Source organism: Homo sapiens, chromosome 15 (genome assembly GCF_000001405.40).
Source record: "Homo sapiens chromosome 15, GRCh38.p14 Primary Assembly".
NCBI classification, from domain to species: domain Eukaryota; kingdom Metazoa; phylum Chordata; class Mammalia; order Primates; family Hominidae; genus Homo; species Homo sapiens.
In genome coordinates, this window is record NC_000015.10 from 58,664,165 (window position 1) to 58,685,324 (window position 21,160).

Sequence of the window (21,160 nt, forward strand, 5' to 3'; positions counted from 1 at the left end):
TACTTATTCTTAAGGTCTGATTATTGCCTTCAAATACTTATAAGGCTAGATTAGCTATTCCTCTTGTGTGTAGAATATCATCCTATACTTAACCCTCTCCTACTACTCTAAATTGTTTCTCTGTGTCTCCAATTAAACGATAACCTTTTGAGAATAGCCTTCATCTTAATCTCCACATATTCCCAGAACTTTCCACAGTCTCTGACATATGGCAGAAGATCAATATGTACTTCTTCAATACATATAAGAATAAAATCTCACTTAACACTAGAAAGACCCACCTGAAACAGAATTGTTTATGCCATTTTACAGATCAAAGAATAGATCTGAATACAAATATTCATGGCTCAAGAAACATAACTCTACCATACTACTTTTAGAAAGGATGTCCAAAATATATGATAAATGTTTTATCATAAAAGAAAAAATGTTTTCTCATTTTGAACTTATGTTTTGAATAACTATAACCTGTCACCTATGACTAAAGAAAAAGGAAGGGAAAAAAATAATTAAAATACGAAAAGTCCTGAGATTTTTATTAACATGACCAACCAGATTGTCTGCTGACACACAACGTTCAGTGTTAAAAATGAGGAATACCTTGGCAAACCAAGGCAAGTGGTCACTCTAATTTTAATGCTAATAAAAATATTTACATTTATATAAAACATTTGTTTTCTTTTATAACAAAACATGTAAAGGATAGTATATTTTAGACTTGTAATGTCTTTTGGGTCACATATATTTGTATTCAAACCTCAGTCCTATCTCTTTATTATTGGCACGTTACCTGGCCTCTTTGAGCATTAAAAAACATTCCCCACAGTGGTGTTAAGTCTTTCAGAAATCCTAGAACATATATTTTAAATGTAGATATACATCCTCAAATTCATTTCCATTTCCTAAATGCAAGCTAGTGTTAAAATCCTTACCTGTGTTACTTCCTCTACACCAGTCATCTGGTATTTCCTCATTCTTTCAAATACTGAATGATCTGCACAGCCCCCCTGAGGACCGTATTTATGGGGATAGTCTAAAATACAAAGAAGAAACGTCATTACTATCACACATTTAGGTATAACCAATTATAAATGAGAATTACAAGTAAAAATTTAACTGTCTTAACTAATGAAAACCATAAATGCTTATTAAGCACCTATGGAAAAGGCATTATGCTAGGCATTTTAATGCTAAAACCTAGCAGGTTCCTAAGCTCTCCCTCAATAAAAACCACTGGTCTTTAGCTTTTTGTCATATAGATGATTTGTGAATTCTAAAAAAGGGCAATAACCACTCATTATTCTGACCCTATCACCAATATATTGCATTCGGCTGTCACCAAGAGAATATCTATGTTTCTGGACCATCATCTGGCAGGGGTCAAGAGAATCCTTCTGCAGTATTCCTGAGCTCCATCAGGAGGACTCTAGCAAATATAAAAGAGAACCCCAAAACTCTTCCTACTCTTGGGAAGATACTCCCCACCCCTCATTTCACAAAACACAACTATCTACCACTTTCTCCCTTAGGACCATTAAGACTATTCTCATAGTAGCTCAGTTTTACAGTTACGTGACTGTATCACTGACTACCCCAACTTATTACAGGCATTTGTTGTCACCCAAGTCATTACTGCCCTTATTTCCTTATTTTTAGATCCTGACTTACTGTCAGTCTCTCTGACACCACCTCATCATCATGACTGATGACATCATTCATCATTCATTCATCATCATTCATCATTCATGACGATGATCCTTCCACTACACTCAGTTCTTTTCTCCAATGATTTTTTCCTACCTCAGTTTCTCATTTCCATAGTTACTCTTCTGAACTTGTCACTATTGATAACTGAAAGCACTTCATAATCTCAACTTCTAGTATTCTACTTTCTTTCCACCACTTATCTTTTCAGCACATTCCCTCTAGGTTCCATCAACCCTTTAACATCAGTGAGACCCTTTAATCCACCAATGCTACCACCTTATTGTCTATCACCAGATATTCTTTCTCTTCCTTATTCAGTTTAAATCCCACAGTCAATTATTATTATAATTACACCACTGCATTCACCATCAACTCCCTTGTGCTCCACCCCAACGCCCCTGAAGGGAGTTGATGGTGAATGCAGTGGTGTCTTACTTACTTCAGAAGTGTAACTATGAAAGAGAGAAGCTCCTCCTGAAGCTGAATGAGGCTAAAGAAAAACTAGTAATTCCAGTCTCATTCAAAAGTCATGATCTATAACCTCAAGCAGTTCCTTAATGCCAGCTAGCAACTGAATTTCCAGAGTCTATTCTCAATTTCATTCACCTAGTTAACACCAGGCAGTCCTTGCTTTGCCACACCAGTAAGTGCCAGTCATAAAACTGACCATGCAAGCTGAAACTATGCAAAATGATCTTAATAATCAATGGGGAAAAAATTACAACTGTTCTGTGACCTTTAAAATCTTTCGTCAAAACCCTAAAACTCACTTACCATTGGTTATTAATGTATAGGGGAACAAAAAAAAACATTTATTTAGTACATTGTTACTTAAAACATTGGGATTTTAAAAGAATTAGTGTTTTATTTCTTCGCAAACTGAATTTTATATATCACGAATTAAAAATATAAATTCCTTTTGAAAGCTTGAAACTTAGGGTAAAAAAAATTTCCAAATATTTCCAAAGCAACAAAACAGTATTTATATATGCTTCAAATTCTGTCAGCACAAAACTCTCCCAATAGAAAGGGTCAAGCATGCAATTTTTCCCATATACTTTCAAAATTTCTAAAAGATGCTGTTTTCCTTGGACACCACATTAACTATAAAAATGGACAATGACATTTTCCCTCTAAAATTACTAACAATATAATCCTCATTTCTAGAAAAAGCCTTTGTTCAACTAATGAATAAGCCCTCATTGAGATGCTAAATCATAGGATGCACTGTAGTTCCCCTGAAAAGGCCAAACAGCATATTCTTTCACAAACAATGAGTCATGGGTGTAGAATATTCGGCCTATTTAAAACAAAGATCAGCTTTAGATCTATTGCCTTTCTTCCAGTTCCTCTGCCAGCCTCTTGCTTTTGTTTTGTTGTTCAAGACACAAATATAAATAGTACATATATTGTGACTCTAACTCAAGCAGGAAATAGCTCTAGTTAACTCTCAATCATCCACTCTTTCAAGGAGGAATATTTACAGTTCAGATTCTCTGTCAACAGAACTAGGCATAAAATACTCACTTTTTGCACCCTCACTACCTCCAACAGGGTACCCCTCAGCCTTATGTGACTAGCAGCTCAGAAACTTAACTGCAAACATCCAAGGCCTTGGCTATGAGATGACCCTCTAATAGTCAAAACTGGATGGTAATCCCTCCAATAATATGCCATGAATCACCAAAGCCAATTTTTAAAAATCTGCATTAATTGAATTTAAAATAGAATGACTTCTATAGAATAATATTATTATGCATAAAAATTATTTTTGTTAGTATCCAGAGTATCATGAGGTGGGGGCCTTGTCCATGAAAATCGTCATTTATTCCCAAAGTTGCCTACATCAACAAGGATTCACTGATGGAGAGTAGAAGAAAGGATAGGCTTTTTTTTTTTTCTTTTGAGAAGAAATGAAAAGTTTGGAGACAGGAAAGAACTCCAAATGTTCTTCCTCCTAATTCCAGTGGATGGGAGGCCGTTTCTCCCGGGTACCAATTCTCATGTCTTCCCAATCCCCATGTCTAATTTCTGTTTTGGGAGGGTAAGTGGGCATAAGAAAAGCACAGAGTGATTGTCCCTAGAAAGAGGAGGAAGTTGAAAATGACCCCACTTTCCACAAGCACTCACAACACTGATCTCTCTGGAAACAGAGATGAGGAAGAGGGCCAGACATGTCCCTTCTCACCCCATGGGTTTTAGAAAGAAAGGGTTACTATTGGCAGCCAAAGGATAATGGGAGTCAGGTCAACCAGAGAAATGTTGCTTTATTATTCTGATCAATGACAAACAGAATTACTAGACTCTAAAGTGTTTAAGGCAGAACCTTTGCCCTATTCATTATTGTATGGATAGTTTCTAAAAGTGTCTTGTACAGATTAGGCACTCAAAAAATGTTTATTAACAAATTAATCAGTTGTTAAACCTGTAAAACTTACAACTGACACTTGGAATGAAAACTTGTAACATACTAACTTTAAGTGACCATTATTTACGTGTATTTGACTTGGGACTATACAGCTATACACAGGGGTGAATGGGTGACTAGGCCAAAGAACATGCGAATCTCTTTTCCTTTCTTTAGTTCCCAAGCTGTGACAACTGAAAAGAAATATTGTTGCAGCCAGAGTAATAGGGCTGAGGCTTCTCCTGTGATCACAGATTCTCTCCTCTAGCAATCAAAAGTCTACCCCTTATCTTCAAGGTTCAAGTCAAATTCCACCTCCCCAGGGAAGTCTTCCTAAATCTCCCTAAAGCTCCCTCACTGAGGTAGTATGCACTACCCCAGGGCTTTGATAACATTTTTGTTATAGCATTTACCACATTTTGACTCTCTATTACTGAAAATTCCCCTGAAGGTTTTTAATCTTCAGGGGAAATTTTAAAATTCTCTTTCCTGTATATTCACAAACCAATAAATACTTGTTGAATTTAATTTTTCAGCCAGTATGTGGTTTCTATGCCTCTTTTCAAAGGTCATCCATTAACCAAAGACCTATAAACTGCTGGCTCCCATAACCTCCTTTTAGCCTTCATTCCACCTACAATAAAGAGGAATTGTCTAACACTTTAAATTGTTTCTACGGCAAAGTGTGTTCTAAATTCCTAACTGCTTTACAGATTGACTATAACATACAGAACATTCAAAATTAACAGCTGTGTACACATAAATCTCCTAATCATATGTCAATGTTATTTTTAACTGCATTAATTTATTAAGCAAACAATTAAGAAAAATTATTATATACCAAACAAAGGGATACAAAAATAAATGACATAGAACATGCACTCTCAAGAGCTGTCAGTCTAGCTGAGGTGTCTGACATGTAAACAAGCATGGCATTTAAGTACCAACTTCCCAAGTGTTAAGGTCTCCCGGCAATCATCCACAGTTTATTAAACACTGGTTGAATTTAATTTACTCATCCAGTCAACAGCTGGTTTCCTTCCATGCCTCTCAAAGGTCAGTCATATGATCAATGACCAGTAAACCACTGGATTCAAAAGATAGGGAAGACTTATCAACACATAAACAGCAGTAAAGAGAGGATACCCAGAACTGTGAGGTCAGGAAAAAATTCTAGGAGATTACACCTAAGTTGTATTATCAGCTTGGAGGAGAGAGAATGTACATGCTGTATATGCTACTAGCTTAAATTAAAATTCTTTGGGTATTTTGCTTGTCTTGTTTCCAAATGCCCCCTCTCTAGAGCTCAGGCAACAGAGCAAGATTTTTTGGTCCTTAGTAGTTATTTCATCCCCTTGCCTCTTCAAAATTTATCTTCTCTTTAATCGACCAATACTTGATGAGTTAATATTAAAAACCTTAATTTTGTCTGTAATAACCCAACCAAAATGTCCATTAACAGGCAAATGTATTAACAAATCATGGTATCCACACAACAGACTACTATTTATCAACAAAAAGTTATTAACTTTTAATACATACAACATGGACGAATCCCAAACTATTTATGCTGAGTTAAAGCCAGACTTTCTTAAAGAGTACATAATGTATAATTGTGCTTATATAACATTTCAGAAAGTGCAAACTAACCTAGAGATTAGTGCAAGAGGGTAGCGGGGAGTAGAGGAGAGAAGAATTACACTGAAAGCTTTTGGGGGTGATGGGCATGTTTATTATCTTAAATGCTATGATAGTTTCACAGACATAAACATATGTCAAAAGTTATCAATATTATAAACTTTATATATAAGCAGTTTATTGCTATCAATTTTTCCTCAATTAAGCTGTTAAAAGAGTAATACTGACTACAGAGATGTGACACTCAAAGGCAATGTGTAGACCCTGATTAAATCCTGTATTAAAAAAAAAAAAATAGGAGACATTTTTGTGAAGTAATTGGGGAAGTGTGTCCACAGACTATACATGAAGGTATTATTAAGTCAATATTTAATTTATAGGTGTAAGAGTATAAATCTGTGTAACCTTTTTAAAGAGATATCTGGCAATATGTATCAAAATGCAAATGTCTGACAATGCTACTTCTAGGAAATTAATCTTAAGGAAATAACCATAAAAATATTGAGGGGAGAAAATATGTGCAAGAATGTTACCTGTTGCAATTTTTAACAGTAAAAAAGAGGAAACAATCTATACATCCATTAGTTGGCAGGCTGGTAAATAATACATTTATCAAGGAAACAGCAGAATTTTATGTAGCCATTTAAAGGAAAAATGTAGAGCTATGTTTATTGACACAGAAAGAGATCTAAGATATAACTGTACATGAAATTTAAAATGGTATATGAGATCTGAAGGGCTATTCATAAAAATGTTAATGGTGGTGGACACATTTCATCTTAATATACTTAATTTACATACAAGAATACTTAATTTACTTAAGAAAAATACTTAATTTACATACAAGAATAGCCATTTTATATAGTCATTTCCCAATCAGCACAAAAATATTTTTATTTTTACTTTTTATTTGTCAGCCATGATCAATCAAGATATTTCCAACTTTAAAGGAAAAGTAGTTTAGAACCATTAACTTTTAGAAGAGATAAGAGATATTAGCACCATGATCTAACACCCTCATTTTATACCTGAAGAAAATGAGACCAAGAAAAAGTACATTACCTGTATAAGGTTATAAAGCTATTCTAACATATCACCTTGATTTCATTTCTAACTCTTTTCATATATATGCCATGCCTCAGTTCTTTGACATATTACCTCTTGTGCCTTCTCCCTACCATGTACCAAGACCACTAACTTGTATGATCTTGAGCAAACAAATTAAACCAAAAAACAGTTTTAACTAGTAGATCTACAAGCTTGCCTATAAAAAATGATTCTAAGAAGTCTCTAGAAGCTAAAACCAGTAAAATCCACATCTATAAATTCTAGACTTTTATGTTCAAATATAAATACAAGATAGCAAGACTGCTTATGGAGATTATCTAATCCCCCAATTTATAAATCATGAACAGAATATAACATGTCTTTAATAAACCAGATCTCACAATGCCTCTTTAGAAGCAGCTTTTTAGAGGGCCAGAGTCCTGGACCAATGTCCTCAGGCACTCTTATAAGGTCACTGGTACAAACATAAATCTATGAATTATGCTATCAGAGATGTGAAAGGCTGAGGTTTAGCTCCGAGTATCTCTAGGACATACACGCACACATACTCCTAAATGCTATTTCTTCTAGTTTTTCTGTAACTCATCACTTATAAGAGTTGAGCCTTGGCCAGGCATGGTGGCTCACACCTGTCATCTTAGCACTTTAGGAGTCCGCGGCAGGAGGATGACTTGAGCTCAAGAGCTCGAGACCAGCCTGGCAACACAGTGAGACCTCGTCTCTATTAATAAATATATATATTTTTTAAAGTGAGCCTAAAATATAAATTTGCTTTTTCAGTAGTAAATATGGCTCACCTTCAAAATCAATGATACCAAAAATAACTTTTTTTTTTTAATCCTTACTGTCATTGTCTCTATTGTCATTAAGTTCTTGGCCTTTTAGCAGCCTTTAAACTCTCCTAACTCAGAATGTAACAGAAATAAAGCACTGGAGTGGCAGCCAAAAGACATGGATCCATGTCATACTGCACAAGTTTTATAACTCTAGACTTCAGTTTCCGTCATCTTTAGAGTGTTGAATCTAGTGCCTTTTACAATACTAAAATTATAAAATTCCTTACTCAATTTATTTGTAAAACAAAATAAAAGATAGTTCTCAAAAGAAAAAACAAAAATTTCAAATATAATTTTACTTGTTAGGGTGACTTTCAAAGTTGCTTTACAACATGAAAGCTTTTTTTATTTTCATATAATCATGTATTTCTGATAGCCATTACAGTACATTGACCTCCATGGAGACAGTGCTGGGGCAAATGGCAGCCAGATGTGCACTAGGTGACTCTGTGCTTCTCTGAGGAAAAATAACTAAACTTGGTAAAAGAAGATCCTAAGAAGCCAAGAGGCAAAAGGTCATCATATGCATTCTTTGTGCAAACTTCCAGGAGGAGAACAAGAAGCAGCACTCATGCTTCAGTTAACTTCTCGGAATTTTCTAAAAAATGCTCAGAGAGGTGGAAAGCCGTATCTGCTAAAGAGAAAGGAAAATCTGAAGACATGGCAAAGGGGGACAAGGATGGCTATTAAAGAGAAACTTACATCCCTCCTAAAGAAGAAACAAAAAAGTTTAGGGATCCCAATGTACCCAAGAGGGCTCCTTCAGTCTTTTCATTTTGCCCTGAGTACTGCCCAAAAATCTAAGGAGAATATCCAAACCTATCCATTCGTGATGTTTCAAAGAAACTGGGAAAGATGTGGATATGGTGCATATGACAAGCAGCCTTATGAAAAGGCTGTGAAGCTGAAGAAAAACTAAGAAATGGATATTGCTGCATACTGAGCTAAAGGAAGGCCTCATGCAGCAAAAAAAAAAAAAAAAAAAAAAAAGGGAGATGTCAATGCTGAAAAAAAAAGAAGAGGAAGGTGAGGAAGTTGAAAATAAGAAGGAAAAGGAGGAAGATGAAGAGGATGAGGAAGAGAAGAAAGATGAAGATGATCATAATGAATAAGTTGGTTCTAGTGCAGTGTTTGTCCTTGTTTATAAATTATTTAGCACCCCTGTACACAACTCACTCCTTTTAAAGAAAAACCTTTAAAGGTAAGGCTTTGTTTTTAAACTGTACAGTTAACACACTAACAGTTAACCACACTATCAAATGTGTCTCTAGATAGCCCATCCTTGACAGTCAGTTGATGAGAGAGCATAAAGAAAAAAAAATACAGATGGATGGAAGGACAGACAGACGGACAGACAGCCCATCCTGGTGGTATTTTCAATAACCACTAACTTTGCCTGAAACAGTATGAGAGCTGTAAGCCAGCATGAAAATCTAAAGCAGGTTCTTATTGGTGCACAGCACAAATGAGTTATATATGGAGATGGTAGTTTTTCACCTTCATTTCTCTCTGATGCAGCTTATACAAAATAAGTATTACTCTTAACTGAATACCACTCTGTAATTGCCAAAAAAAAAAAAAAAAGCTGCAGCTGTTTTTTTGACACTGTAAATGCTTCTAATAACAATTTTTTATTTTAAAAATCTTATATTTCTGAAATAATTCATTGTATTTCATTATAGCTAAAATATTTTATATTGATGTTTTAAGATAAATATATATGAATATACATGTATACATATACATACATATATATAACTAATCAGAAAAGAACTTGATCTAAAATTTTCAACTGTTATCCTATTTATATAACGTTACGTAATATGAAATGCATAATATGCATAATATGAAAAGTCTAAGCATATTTTTTCCAGATTCTGCTAAAAAGAATTAAGCCCCTCACTGTCTCTTTCTCTCTCTTTTTTTTTTTCTGAGACAGAGTCTCACTCTGTCGCCCAGGCTGGAGTGCAGTGGCATGATCTCGGCTCACTGCAAGCTCCGACTCCCGGGTTCACGCCATTCTCCTGCCTCAGCCTCTCGAGTAGCTGGGACTACAGGCGCCTGCCACCACGCCCGGCTAACTTTTTGTATTTTTAGTAGAGACGGGGTTTCACTGTTTAGCCAGGATGGTCTTGATCTCCTGACCTCGTGATCCGCCTGCCTCAGCCTCCCAAAGTGCTGGGATTACAGGCGTGAGCCACCATACCCAGCCACTGCCTCTTTTTTTGTGATTTTTTTTTAACTTTCCAATTTAGTATCCTACATTTCTAATTAAATATTATTCTTAAAATAACTCCCATATCTGTGGCCTTCTCAACTTTTCGGCTTCTGTGCCTGTGAGTTGTTTAGAAAAATTAATTTATACTTCCCAAGAGATTAACTCAGAAAAAAGGAAAAGACAGAGTCAACAATACCACTAAATTTTTATATTTCTTTCAAATACTATCACTGTGCTTAAATAAGTTCAGTATCTAACATCAATGCTTAGTAAAGCATACAAATTCAAAACATATAGTAGAGAGATTAACCAATACACTTGTATGCACTGTGGGAGTTCAGAAGTCAAACAATCAGAGCACTCCACATCTCAACTTTTCCAGTTGGCTACATAGTTTGTCACAACTCAATATGCTTATGCAGATTTCCAATCTCCAGACTGGACCTAAGTATAGCCAGAATGCTTTCTAAAACAGTTTTCCTGTTATATGTGAATGATACAAACAATGCTAGCTATTATCAATACTTACCAATTCAATTATTCTTCCCTCTTGTATTCCTTCCTTTTGTCTCTCCCTGTCACTAACAGTGACAGAAAACAACTTCAAAAACACAATATGGAACTAATTGACATTTTAAAAGTTTTAGATGCAACATCCTGACATTTCCACAAATGAGGAAGCTTCTACATGAATGAAGAGGCCTCCATCTTGAAATGGTAAAATAAAGTTTAACAATCTTAATTTTTCAGAACAAGAAATAGGAGGTCTTCCCATTGAAGCACAAGAGAAAGAAGAAATAAGTATAGGTATGGCTAACACACATTCTAAAGTAGGGGTGCCCTACTACTATAAGGTATAGACAAATTCAGGCCGGGCACAGTGGCTCACGCCTGTAATCCCAACACTTTGGGAGGCCGAGGCGGGCGGATCACGAGGTCAAGAGATCAAGAGATCGAGACCATCCTGGCCAACATGGTGAAACCCCGTCTCTACTAAAAATACAAAAATTAGCTGGGCGTGATGGCACATGCCTGTAGTCCCAGCTATTCACAGGAGGCTGAGGCAGGAGAATCACCTGAACCCAGAAGGCGGAGGTTGCAGTGAGCTGAGATGGCACCACTGCACTCCAGCCTGGGCGACGGAGGTATAGGCAAATTCAACCTCTCTGGGCTTTTCTATACCCCACAAAGGAAAATAAATAATAAATTTGAAATGAAAGCAATAAACCCAAATAAATTATTCTGCAGCTCTTCATATACAATTAAAATATATTTTTTAATTTGGAGATTAAGTATTTCTCTATAAGTATAGAATAAAAAAATTACTCAGACCTTTAGCTCTTGGATAGGTAGTACACAAAAAAGGTGTAAGGGAATTATTGCAAGCAGTCATATAGTCAGATATTCCTAAAACCTGTTCATGTTAATAACAATACTATTCTAGTTTATGGAACAATGTTTTTCTCAGTTTCTTTAAAATAAACTGTGCTAAGGGGCAGAGGACTAAGTGGTATTCTTACCTTGTCATTAACTGTTCACACTACCATGTCCTAGGAGAGAGTGTTTTTTACTAAGTACAGAATTAAATAAGTATGCATTTTAAGCTGATAACAATATATATTTATCACTATCACATCTAGAGAAATTATTAAGTATTTTCAGTGAAAACTATCCCTGTGTTCTGGTACAGTCTCAGAAGCCATTCCCCAAGGTTCTGGAGAATAGCAGTATCATTTTTCATGATGGTTCTATACATTTATGCCTTCAGTTGCAAAAACAGTATTAAGAAGAGGGTAGCCAAATTCTCATCAAAAGGTATATCCAAGGTTAGTATGCCTCCCCTACCATTTGCTTCTTTTTGGTAAGGATAACATATACAACGATACCAAATCCAATTAAGAACATTCACAGTGATACAATAATGCAGTACTTTACTTCTGAAAATAAATTATTAGTACTTAAACCAATTATATAAAAATAATAATACACATTAAAGGGCATCCTTTGCCATTTAGTTATAAAATAAACACTGCTAAATATATTAAGGAGAGAGTTTGGCTTAAAACAGCAATAGATGCAAATGTATGATTTTAGAGAGGCTTACAGATTTCAGAAAAGCCCCAGAAATCCTTGAAGTAAAGGCAGTGAGAATTTACAGCTTTCTTCCATGAGTGAAGCAGAAGAGCACAGGGTAAAGAACAGGAGGTCCACAATCAAGTGACATAAGTTTTCTAAGCCTCAGTTTAAGCCTTCACCTATAAAGTGGGAATAATAGGTGTGCCAGTATCTCATAACGTTATTTTGAGAATTCAATTCAATAATGCAAGTAAAGATTTTTATACACTGTCAGGTATATATTAAGCCATAATAATTATTCTTACTACTGCTGCTACTACTACTACTTCTAGAACCTGTCATATTCTACACAGAGAATTTAAAGAACCAATTAAAGTAATTATTAAATTTAGTGAGCCCTCCCATCTGTTTTTGTTTGACATGAAAACTAAGGGTAGCTTCCACATTTTTAAATGGTTAAAGAAAAAATCAAAAGAATGATATTTTATGTCATATGAAATATATATGAAATTAATATTTAAGTGTCTATGAAGTTTTATTAAAAACAGCCATGCTAGCTGGGAGCAGTGGCTTATACCTGGAGTCCCAGCTACTCACAGAGCTGAGGTAGGAGGTTCACTTGAGCCCAGGAGGTTGAGGCTGTAGTGAGGTATGATCACACCACTGAACTCCAGACTGGGCAACAGGGCAAGGCTCTGTCTCCAAAAAAATAGATAAATAAATAATAATTTCTTTAAAAAAAGCACCCATGCTTATTTATTTATGTGTTTCTTTGGCTGTTCTCGTGCTACAATGGCAGAGCTGAGTAGCTGCAATAAAACATACAGCTCTCAAAGCCAAAAATATTTACTCTCTGTCCCTCTGCAGAGAATTTGCGAACCACGGTCTAGAATATAAATATAGCAACTATTTAGAATAAAAGACTAATACATGAATGTTTTCTTGTCTTAAACCATGGTTCACTTGACAGATTTTTAGGTAGTTTTTCACAAGTAATTGTCTAAATTTGCAAACATTAAAAACTCTGTTTAAGGGAACTCCTTCCGTACTCCCATCCTCATATCCTACAATTTCAATTACCTGAGAAGCTACAAATAAAATCACCTTAAAGATTGCTGCTTTTAAATTCTAACCCCACTACTGATATGTAATAATAAAAAGAATGTTAAAAAGTTCTCCTTACCACAAACATATATTTACTTAAACAAGTATAAAATAAAAGCTGATATCAATGATAAAGCATTTAAATGCCAAAAAGAACAAAAAATCAAGTAACATCCAGTGTCATTCATCCTCCAAGCTAACTCATCATCTTTGGGGAAAAAAAAAGATTGACACCTATTAAGATATTTGGAAATTACTGTTGGATGCAATATGCAAAAAATACAATTATATTACAAGAAAGAAAGAAAAGTGGGAAAAAAGAATATTCTTAAACTACACACAAGTAGATAACAGAAGAAGGAAAACATGAGAGAGGCACAATAACAGAAGTCAAAACAGGCAGAACAAATACAGTAGAGGGCACTGATAGCAAGTAGAAAGCAATGGAGAAAGTATAATTACAATATGATAGAAAGGAAAAAATAATCTGGCAGATTACGCTTTTCCTCTCCTTCATTCCTCAAAAGGTTTTCTTTGATTTTGATAAAACATTCTAGAAAAATATTCCAGTATTTCATTAAGTATTTATGAAAAGCCTGCTGCACAGACAAATGATACTTGCAATATTACAGGAGCAAAAGAAACAGAAACTATACCTGAAGAACTTACATACCCTGATAGGGGAGGTAACCCTGCAAAAAAAGGTTAAATTACTAAGAAAGCTACAAAGCAAGACACAAACCAGGTAAATAATAATTTTGTCAGCAGAAAGAAACGAAAGCAAAGGAATTCATATTCCTACTTATGAAGGAGGATGATAGCTTAGAGCTTGAAAAGAAAGGTAGAGTTTGAAATACCAGGAGTTAAAACTGGAAAAGGAATCAAATAGTGGTGAATGAAAATACAGGGAAGTAGCATTAATGAGCTTATGATTTAACAAGTAGCTAAAAATCATAAATGCATCCTACCTAGTATACATATGTTATTTTCTATAGCAATCTAGCAGCAGAGATAACAAGCAGTTGGACAGATGAAGTACAAAAACTGTCAGAGCTGATGGAGCAAAAAGTCAAAATGGTTAATGCTTGTCAGTGTATTACTAGGGGTAAGAATAAAATCATTGACAATAAATTTCTGTCTATACAAAGGAAAACGTATGTAGGAAGAAGCTGCCAAGTTAGGAAAGCAGGCAAAAATTGAGAGACTAGTCTAATTACAGTCAAAAAATAATAAATGGGTATTCAAGAGCTATATAAATTAGAGAAATTTATTTCTGTGGTACTTCAAAGAAGCATTCCCAATAACTGGATAACTGTGGATATACGGACAATAGAATTAAAAGGTAAAGTCTAAATACATTTTCTATTCTTAGAAAAATATCATCATATAAAGATGGTAGAGAACAAAATCCATGATAAACGTGGACTCTTGAAGTCAAGTCATTACCTTAAGATTCTAAAAAGAAATACTCAATGGACTTAAAAATTACAAAAATACCTAAAATATTCCTTAAACACTACACAAATATCCACACTGAAATTTATGTAAGTAGTAATGATGCTCTTCTACCTTCAATAGGTCATACACACAAAGGTATTAGCATTACACAGACTGGCTGATGTCAAAATATACGATTTCCAGTTCCGTCAGATTTGGTTGACTCACACAGTTCAAACAGAATTAGTTATGTCATATCAGCAAAGTAGTACTGGCAATGGACTGACAAGGAAATTGCCTCATTACATATATCTACTATTCCTTAAATAGCAATTGCTAGTAAAAACTATGTTCTAGCCTGATTAGTAACTCAGGAAAGAAAACAGCTAATGCTTCATTTGTCTCCACACAGTTTTAACTATCATATGCCTTTTGAAAAAGGCTACTTGATAAAACTTAAGTACTTACTAATATCATCTTCATGATAAATGACAGAGTGAAATGGCAGAGTTCGGTCTTTAATATATCTCTCTGCTGGCTCAACATAAAATGTGCCACCACGAGTCTGGATGAATCCTTCAAATCTTCCATCAATAACAGACCCATGGCTAAAACTTCCTTCTTCACCTATTAATGAAAGCAACAAATTCTTGACAATTTAATTTGCACATGAATGTTAAATTCATTCATATATATGTATATATGTGTGTATATATATACACACATGCATACATATATACACATATATATGGTTAAATCTTGAATATAAATTTACTATGGAAATTTTCACATAAAATATATCAAGCAGAATGTGAGATGTGAACAGCAACTAGTATTTAGTTAAAATATATACAATTACTAATAACAGCAATGAAAAATAGAGTATCTGCCTTGTTACCAACCACATTCCTTGCACCTAGCTGAGTGCCTAGCATGTATGCAGTAGTCATCAATAATTGTAAATTGGCCCAGCACAGTGTGGTTCACACCTATAATCCCAGCACTTTGGGGGGCCGAGGTGGGCAGATCACTCGAGGCCAGGAGTTCGAGACCAGCCTAGCTAACATAGCGAAACCCTGTCTCTACTAAAAACACAGAAAACATTAGCTGGGCCTGGTGGCACATGTCTGTAAGTCCAGCTACTCAGGAGGCTGAGGCAGAAGAATCACTTGAACCCTGGAGGCGGAGGTTGCTGTGAGCTGACATGGCACCACTGAACTCCAGCCTGGGTGACAAGAGCAAGACCTTGTCTCAAAACAAAACAAAACAATTAATTGTTAAATTAACTTAAAAGAAGCAAGCAAACCCACTGATAAAATACACACTTTCAGAATAAAGACATCCAAAGCATCTTTTGAAAATTTTGCTACAGGTACCACAAGAAAAAAGCTCCTTTTCCATCCGATATATTGTGCATGGGCCAGGCCTTTTGGCTTCTGCGCTATGCTTAGGGGTTTGTTTTGTGTTTTGTTTTGTTTTGCTTTTGAGACAAGGTCTTGCTCTGTCACCCGGGCTGGAGTGCAGTGACGAGCTCATGGCTCTGTGCAGCCTCAACCTCCTGGGCTCAGGCACTCCTCCCACCTCCGCCTCCCTAGTAGCTGGGACTACAAGCGTGCACCGCCACCTCCAGCTAATTTTTGTATTTTTGGTAGAGACAGGGACTTGCTATGTTTCCTAGGCTGGTCTGGAACTCCTGGGCTCAAACAATCCACCTGCCTCGGCCTCCTAAAGTGCTGGGATTACAGGCGTGAGTCACCACGCCCAGCCTATAAACACATTTTTAAATAGAACAGTGTCAAATATTTCATGGGCACTTTGAACAAAAGTATACCAACAGTACTTTTAAAGATATTGGACAAAGATTTGTAATACTATCCCATCAATTACACTTCTCCAGTGAAAGGAAATAATAGGAAAAAAGGTACTTTTGGTTCTTAATATAATCACAACGAAAAGGTGAGCACCAAAATCAAATGACATAAAGGGTGAAAGTAGAGGGAGAGGGCTTTAAACCTTGAATTTACCCATTACGATTCTCTGATTAAAATAAAAATCAGGACTTCCACAATTTCTAAGTTGTAGAATAACATTAATTAGTTGCCTCTGAATTAATCATAGACTGGAGGTAAGAGCCCAAGACGCTGATATTTGGAGTTTTTTGTTTTGTTTTGTTTTCTTAAATAGACAGGGCCCCTCTCTGTCCCCCAGGCTATAGTGCAGTGGCACAATCATAACTCACTGTAGCCTCAACCTCCTGGGCTCAGCAATCCTCCCACGTCAGCCTCCCATCTAACTGAAACTACAGGTGTGCCACCACAACTAAATTTTTATGTTTTTTAGAGACAAGGTCTCACTATACTGCCCAGGCTGGTCTCAAACTCCAGGTCTCAAGCAATCCTCCTGCCTCAGCCTCCCAAAGCACTGGGATTACAGGTGTAACTGCTACCATGCCTGGCCTAAATAACATGATTTTTATCTGCAATCTCATTTACGGCCTCGGACTTTTCTTGATCTCATCACCTAGCGAAAAAGGGCAGGAACTACTAAGTTATTTGCCCAGAAAGATAAATAATCAAGAAGACAATATAACACTAAAGTCTGACATTGAAAATCTACTGATGAAAAACGCTTCATTTTGGTTACAGAATTGTAAGAGTACAAAAAAGCTAAAGAATTTAATGATTAGGTTTATTCTACAAATGAGAAAGTTTAAGTATAGAAATGCCTCATTTATCTGGCACAATCGAAAAATGAGAAAAAATTCTTTAAGCATTTAATTTTTCATGTTACTATTTTCAGTAGAAATCACTCGTGTAGAAATAATCTCAAACAGTTTAACACTGTCTTAAGTGAGAATCATCTTGAGTACTTACTAATGTACAGTTATAAAACAATGACATTTTGCCTCTCTCCAACACCCCCAGAAGATTTTCATTTTTTAAGCTTTTTTATGACTTCTATAGTTGTTCTGTTCTTTCAACACTACTAGTAGATGTAACTTTCTATTGGGTTAAGTGTGCCACTGATGCCCCCCAACATGCATTTTCAATTTGATGCAGCAAGAGAAATTTGTTAGAATTGTGAATAAAGCAAATAGATTCTGAGGAAGAAGGGCCTTGGGAGGATTTTCCTACAGATGACTCTGTCACATTATTTTTGGCTAAGATCATCTTTACTGTTTCCTTTTAGACTTTTCCTGTTTTCTTATAAAACACAGCAAAGTTACTATTAATTTCTTACTTGGAAAATCAGAAAATTACAGAAGTCGTTAAAACTTTTGAAAACTCTAACAGTTTAGAGGTACTGAGTCAAAATTTCACCCCTTTCAGAAGCCAGATATTTCATAATTCACTATTAAACATACATGTAAAGATAGGTCCAAACATTACTTCATTTCTCAAAGACCATTACCCTTCATATGAATTCAACCTCCTCTGGATTTATAACCTTTTCTGAAATATTTGCTTACACTTCAAAATGAGTATCTTTGTGTAGAAAAAAAAAAATGGAAGAAAAGGGTTCTGTTAAGGTCCAACTTACCATAAATATGTCCAGTGTAAATATGAGAGGTATCATAATCAAGTACTTTATTTGATGTTTCTACTTTAAATTCATCACTGAAAAGGGAAGTGTCCCTCTTCATTCGTAGGTTGAAATGTCTGTAAAATGGGATGGGAAGGGGGAACAACTGAAATTAAAAAGATCCAAATTTTAAACAATTATTTTTTATTTTAAAAAGTCTACAAAATGTGGACTGTTATGAAATTTGTCTATTTGTGAAATACGCTGACCAAGATTTTTAAAGACATATTCTGCTCTAAAAGTCAACTTAGTAGCTGTGGTAGGACTCTAAATGAGATAAAATTAAACAGTAACTGTCTAGGATGTTAAAAATAAATGCCTATAGACTGATTCTTACATGGTAAAACAAGATATTCAAACAGCAAATAAGTTACTTGGAGATTAAAACAGGCTTCCTGACCCAATTACTATTATCTACCACTGCCTGTCTTCTCTCTCTAGTAATTCTGCTATTTTGCTATTCTCCCTTACTTTCTACAAGTTAAATAAGAAAATACAGAAGAAAGCAGCATCTATATGGGGTATTTAACATCTCTTCTCAGAAAGACAAGTGTGTATGCTCTTTGTTTTACCCTGGGGCTTCTAATTCTTGCAAATTATAGAAATCTTCCTTAATTCAATTTGGGAATGCCGAAAGACCAGGATAATGGCTGAAATCAGAGGAATTTTAGTCCTCTACACAAAAAAGGGAAAGATCAAAATACTAAAGTAAAATTAATTAAAGATATGACAAAAATCTAGAGTTTAGAATCGAATTGGAATCAAATCTTAAGCCTAGAATTTACTAGCTCAGGTTCCTGTCTGTGAAATAAAGGTAATATAAATTCTATACACCTTGTAAAATTACTTTAAATATTAGAGATTTTATAACGTATATAAAGTCATAACAGTACCTGGCACATTGGAGATATATGATAAAATGGCAACAAATTAGCTAACATTACTCAACTCTGTTAAAAGTATATCAAGTCTTTTATAATTGTGAACATAATAGAATTTCTACTTAATTTTTTTGACAATTACAACAAAGTATTACGTCTTTTTTTTTACATATACATGTTTTGCAGAGTACTATAAGAACCTTGTTTTTTAAATTACTTAATAAAAATTTGTAACATAAAGTTGTATGGGGAAACATACAGTCACTTCACACATTTGTGACATGAATAAGTTGGTACAATCTCTATGGTGGGAAAACTGGTTTAAAAAATCCAAATTACAAATGTACATAGCCTTTGATACAAGAATTCCATTTCTAGAAATGTATCTTACATATACTTGCATGTAAGTGAAATTACTTCCATACTACAAAGAATGTGGCATAATAAGAAATATAAAGTTAAGCCAGGTGCAGTGGCTCATGCCTGTAATCCCAGAACTTTGGGAGGCTGAGGCAGGTGGATCATCTGAGGTCAGGAGTTCAAGACCAGCCTGGCCAACACAGCAAAACCGTCTCTACTAAAAATACAAAAACTAGCCAGGCATGGTGGCTTGCACCTCTAGTCCCAGCTACTGGGGAGGCTGAGGTAAGAGAACTGCTTGAATCTGGGAGGTGGAGGCTACAGTGAGCCAAGATCATGCCACTGCACTCCAGCCTGGGTGACAAAGTGAGGCTCCATCTCAAAAAAAAAAAAAAAAAAAAAAAAGAGAAGGAAATATAAAGTCATCCCTCAGTATCCACGGGGGATTGGTTACAGGACCCCCAAGGATACCAAAATCTAAAAATGCTCAAGTCCCTTATACAAAATGGTACAGTATTTGTATATAACAAATGTATTTGTAGAGTATTTGTATATATACATCCTCCTGTACACTTTAAATCATCTCAAAATTACTTATAATACCTCACACAGTATAAATTCTATGTAAATAGTTCTTATACTGTATTGTTTAGGGAATAATGACAAGGAAGAAAGTGTACATGTTCAGTACAGATGCAACCATGCGAATTATTTTCAATCCAAGGCTGACTGAATCCACAGATATAGAGGGCCAAATCTATTTGACCTTTGTCCCCAGTTCCTGGCACAGTGCTCCTAAAACCCTTGGAATATCCTCAGTGATAGGTGTCTCTTCACTCATTCATAATGAGTCTGTTTCACTCACATCTGAGTTTATGCTAATGAGGTGACTTAGAGTGGGGCCCCTAGATGACCTTGGAATAGAGCTGGTCACCAGAAAGATCAAATAATAAGAGCAATGGAATTTCAGCCCTAGCCACTGACTCCACCCCAGAAAGTGAGGTGGGAGAGACAGGAGATTAAGCTCTATAGAAACTCTTGAACAATGAGATCTGATCAGCTTCCAGGGTTGAACACACTGAGTTGATTGGAGGGTAGTGAACCCAGAGAGCGCACAGAAACTCTGTGCTGCCTCCCACATTCCTACGCATCTCTTCCACTTAGGTGATCATGAGTTGTATCCTTTATAATAAACCAGCAAGAGTAAGTAAACTGTTTTCCTGAGTTCTGTCAGCCAGGTTAACAAATTATCTAACCTTAGGAGGAGGTTGAGGGAACCCCCAATTTATAGCAGGTGGTCCGAAGTACAGGTGGCGCAGGACTTACAAATGGTGTCTGAAGTGGAAAGCAGTGTTGTAGGAATGGGCCCTTAAGCTGTGGGGTCTGCACTAGCTCCAGATATTTACTGTGAGAACTGAATTACGCTGAATTGTTGAACACCCACTTGGTGTCTGGAGAATCAAGAGAATTGGTTGCTGGTGTTGGAAAATAGCCCAGAAAGATTATTCACCTTAGCACTATTTGAAATAGTACATGATTAGTAACAACAGAACTAGTTAATTTGCTTATGGTACATAATCGTATTTATGGGTATACCCATATAACTGTATACTACAAAGCTGAAAAAAATATATAAAATATTTACATGTAATCAAATCATAGACCTCTAAGTTATATTAAGTAAAAAAAAAAAAAAAAAAAGACCAAGTGCAGTGGCTCACGCCTGTAATCCCAGCATTTGGGGAGGCCGACGCAGGCAGATCATGAGGTCAGGAGATCGAGACCATCCTGGCTAACACAGTGAAACCCCATCTCTACTAAAAATACAAAAAATTAGCCGGGCGTG

General features: G+C 35.6%; 1 protein-coding gene and 1 pseudogene across 2 annotated transcripts in view; one reads left to right on the forward strand and one right to left on the reverse strand.

The window, feature by feature from the left end:
• ADAM10 (ADAM metallopeptidase domain 10) overlaps positions 1-21,160 on the reverse strand; it is a 160,899-nt gene that overhangs the window by 75,356 nt on the left and 64,383 nt on the right. For both annotated transcript variants that reach the window (NM_001320570.2, NM_001110.4), the window contains exons 3-5: positions 18,032-18,150; positions 14,960-15,118; positions 933-1,033 (exon numbers count right to left, since the gene is read on the reverse strand). In NM_001320570.2, coding sequence (NP_001307499.1) covers positions 933-1,033; positions 14,960-15,118; positions 18,032-18,150 — 379 coding nt within the window. The remainder of the gene's footprint in view (positions 1-932; positions 1,034-14,959; positions 15,119-18,031; positions 18,151-21,160) is intronic.
• On the forward strand, positions 8,117-8,934 carry HMGB1P51 (high mobility group box 1 pseudogene 51; annotated as a pseudogene).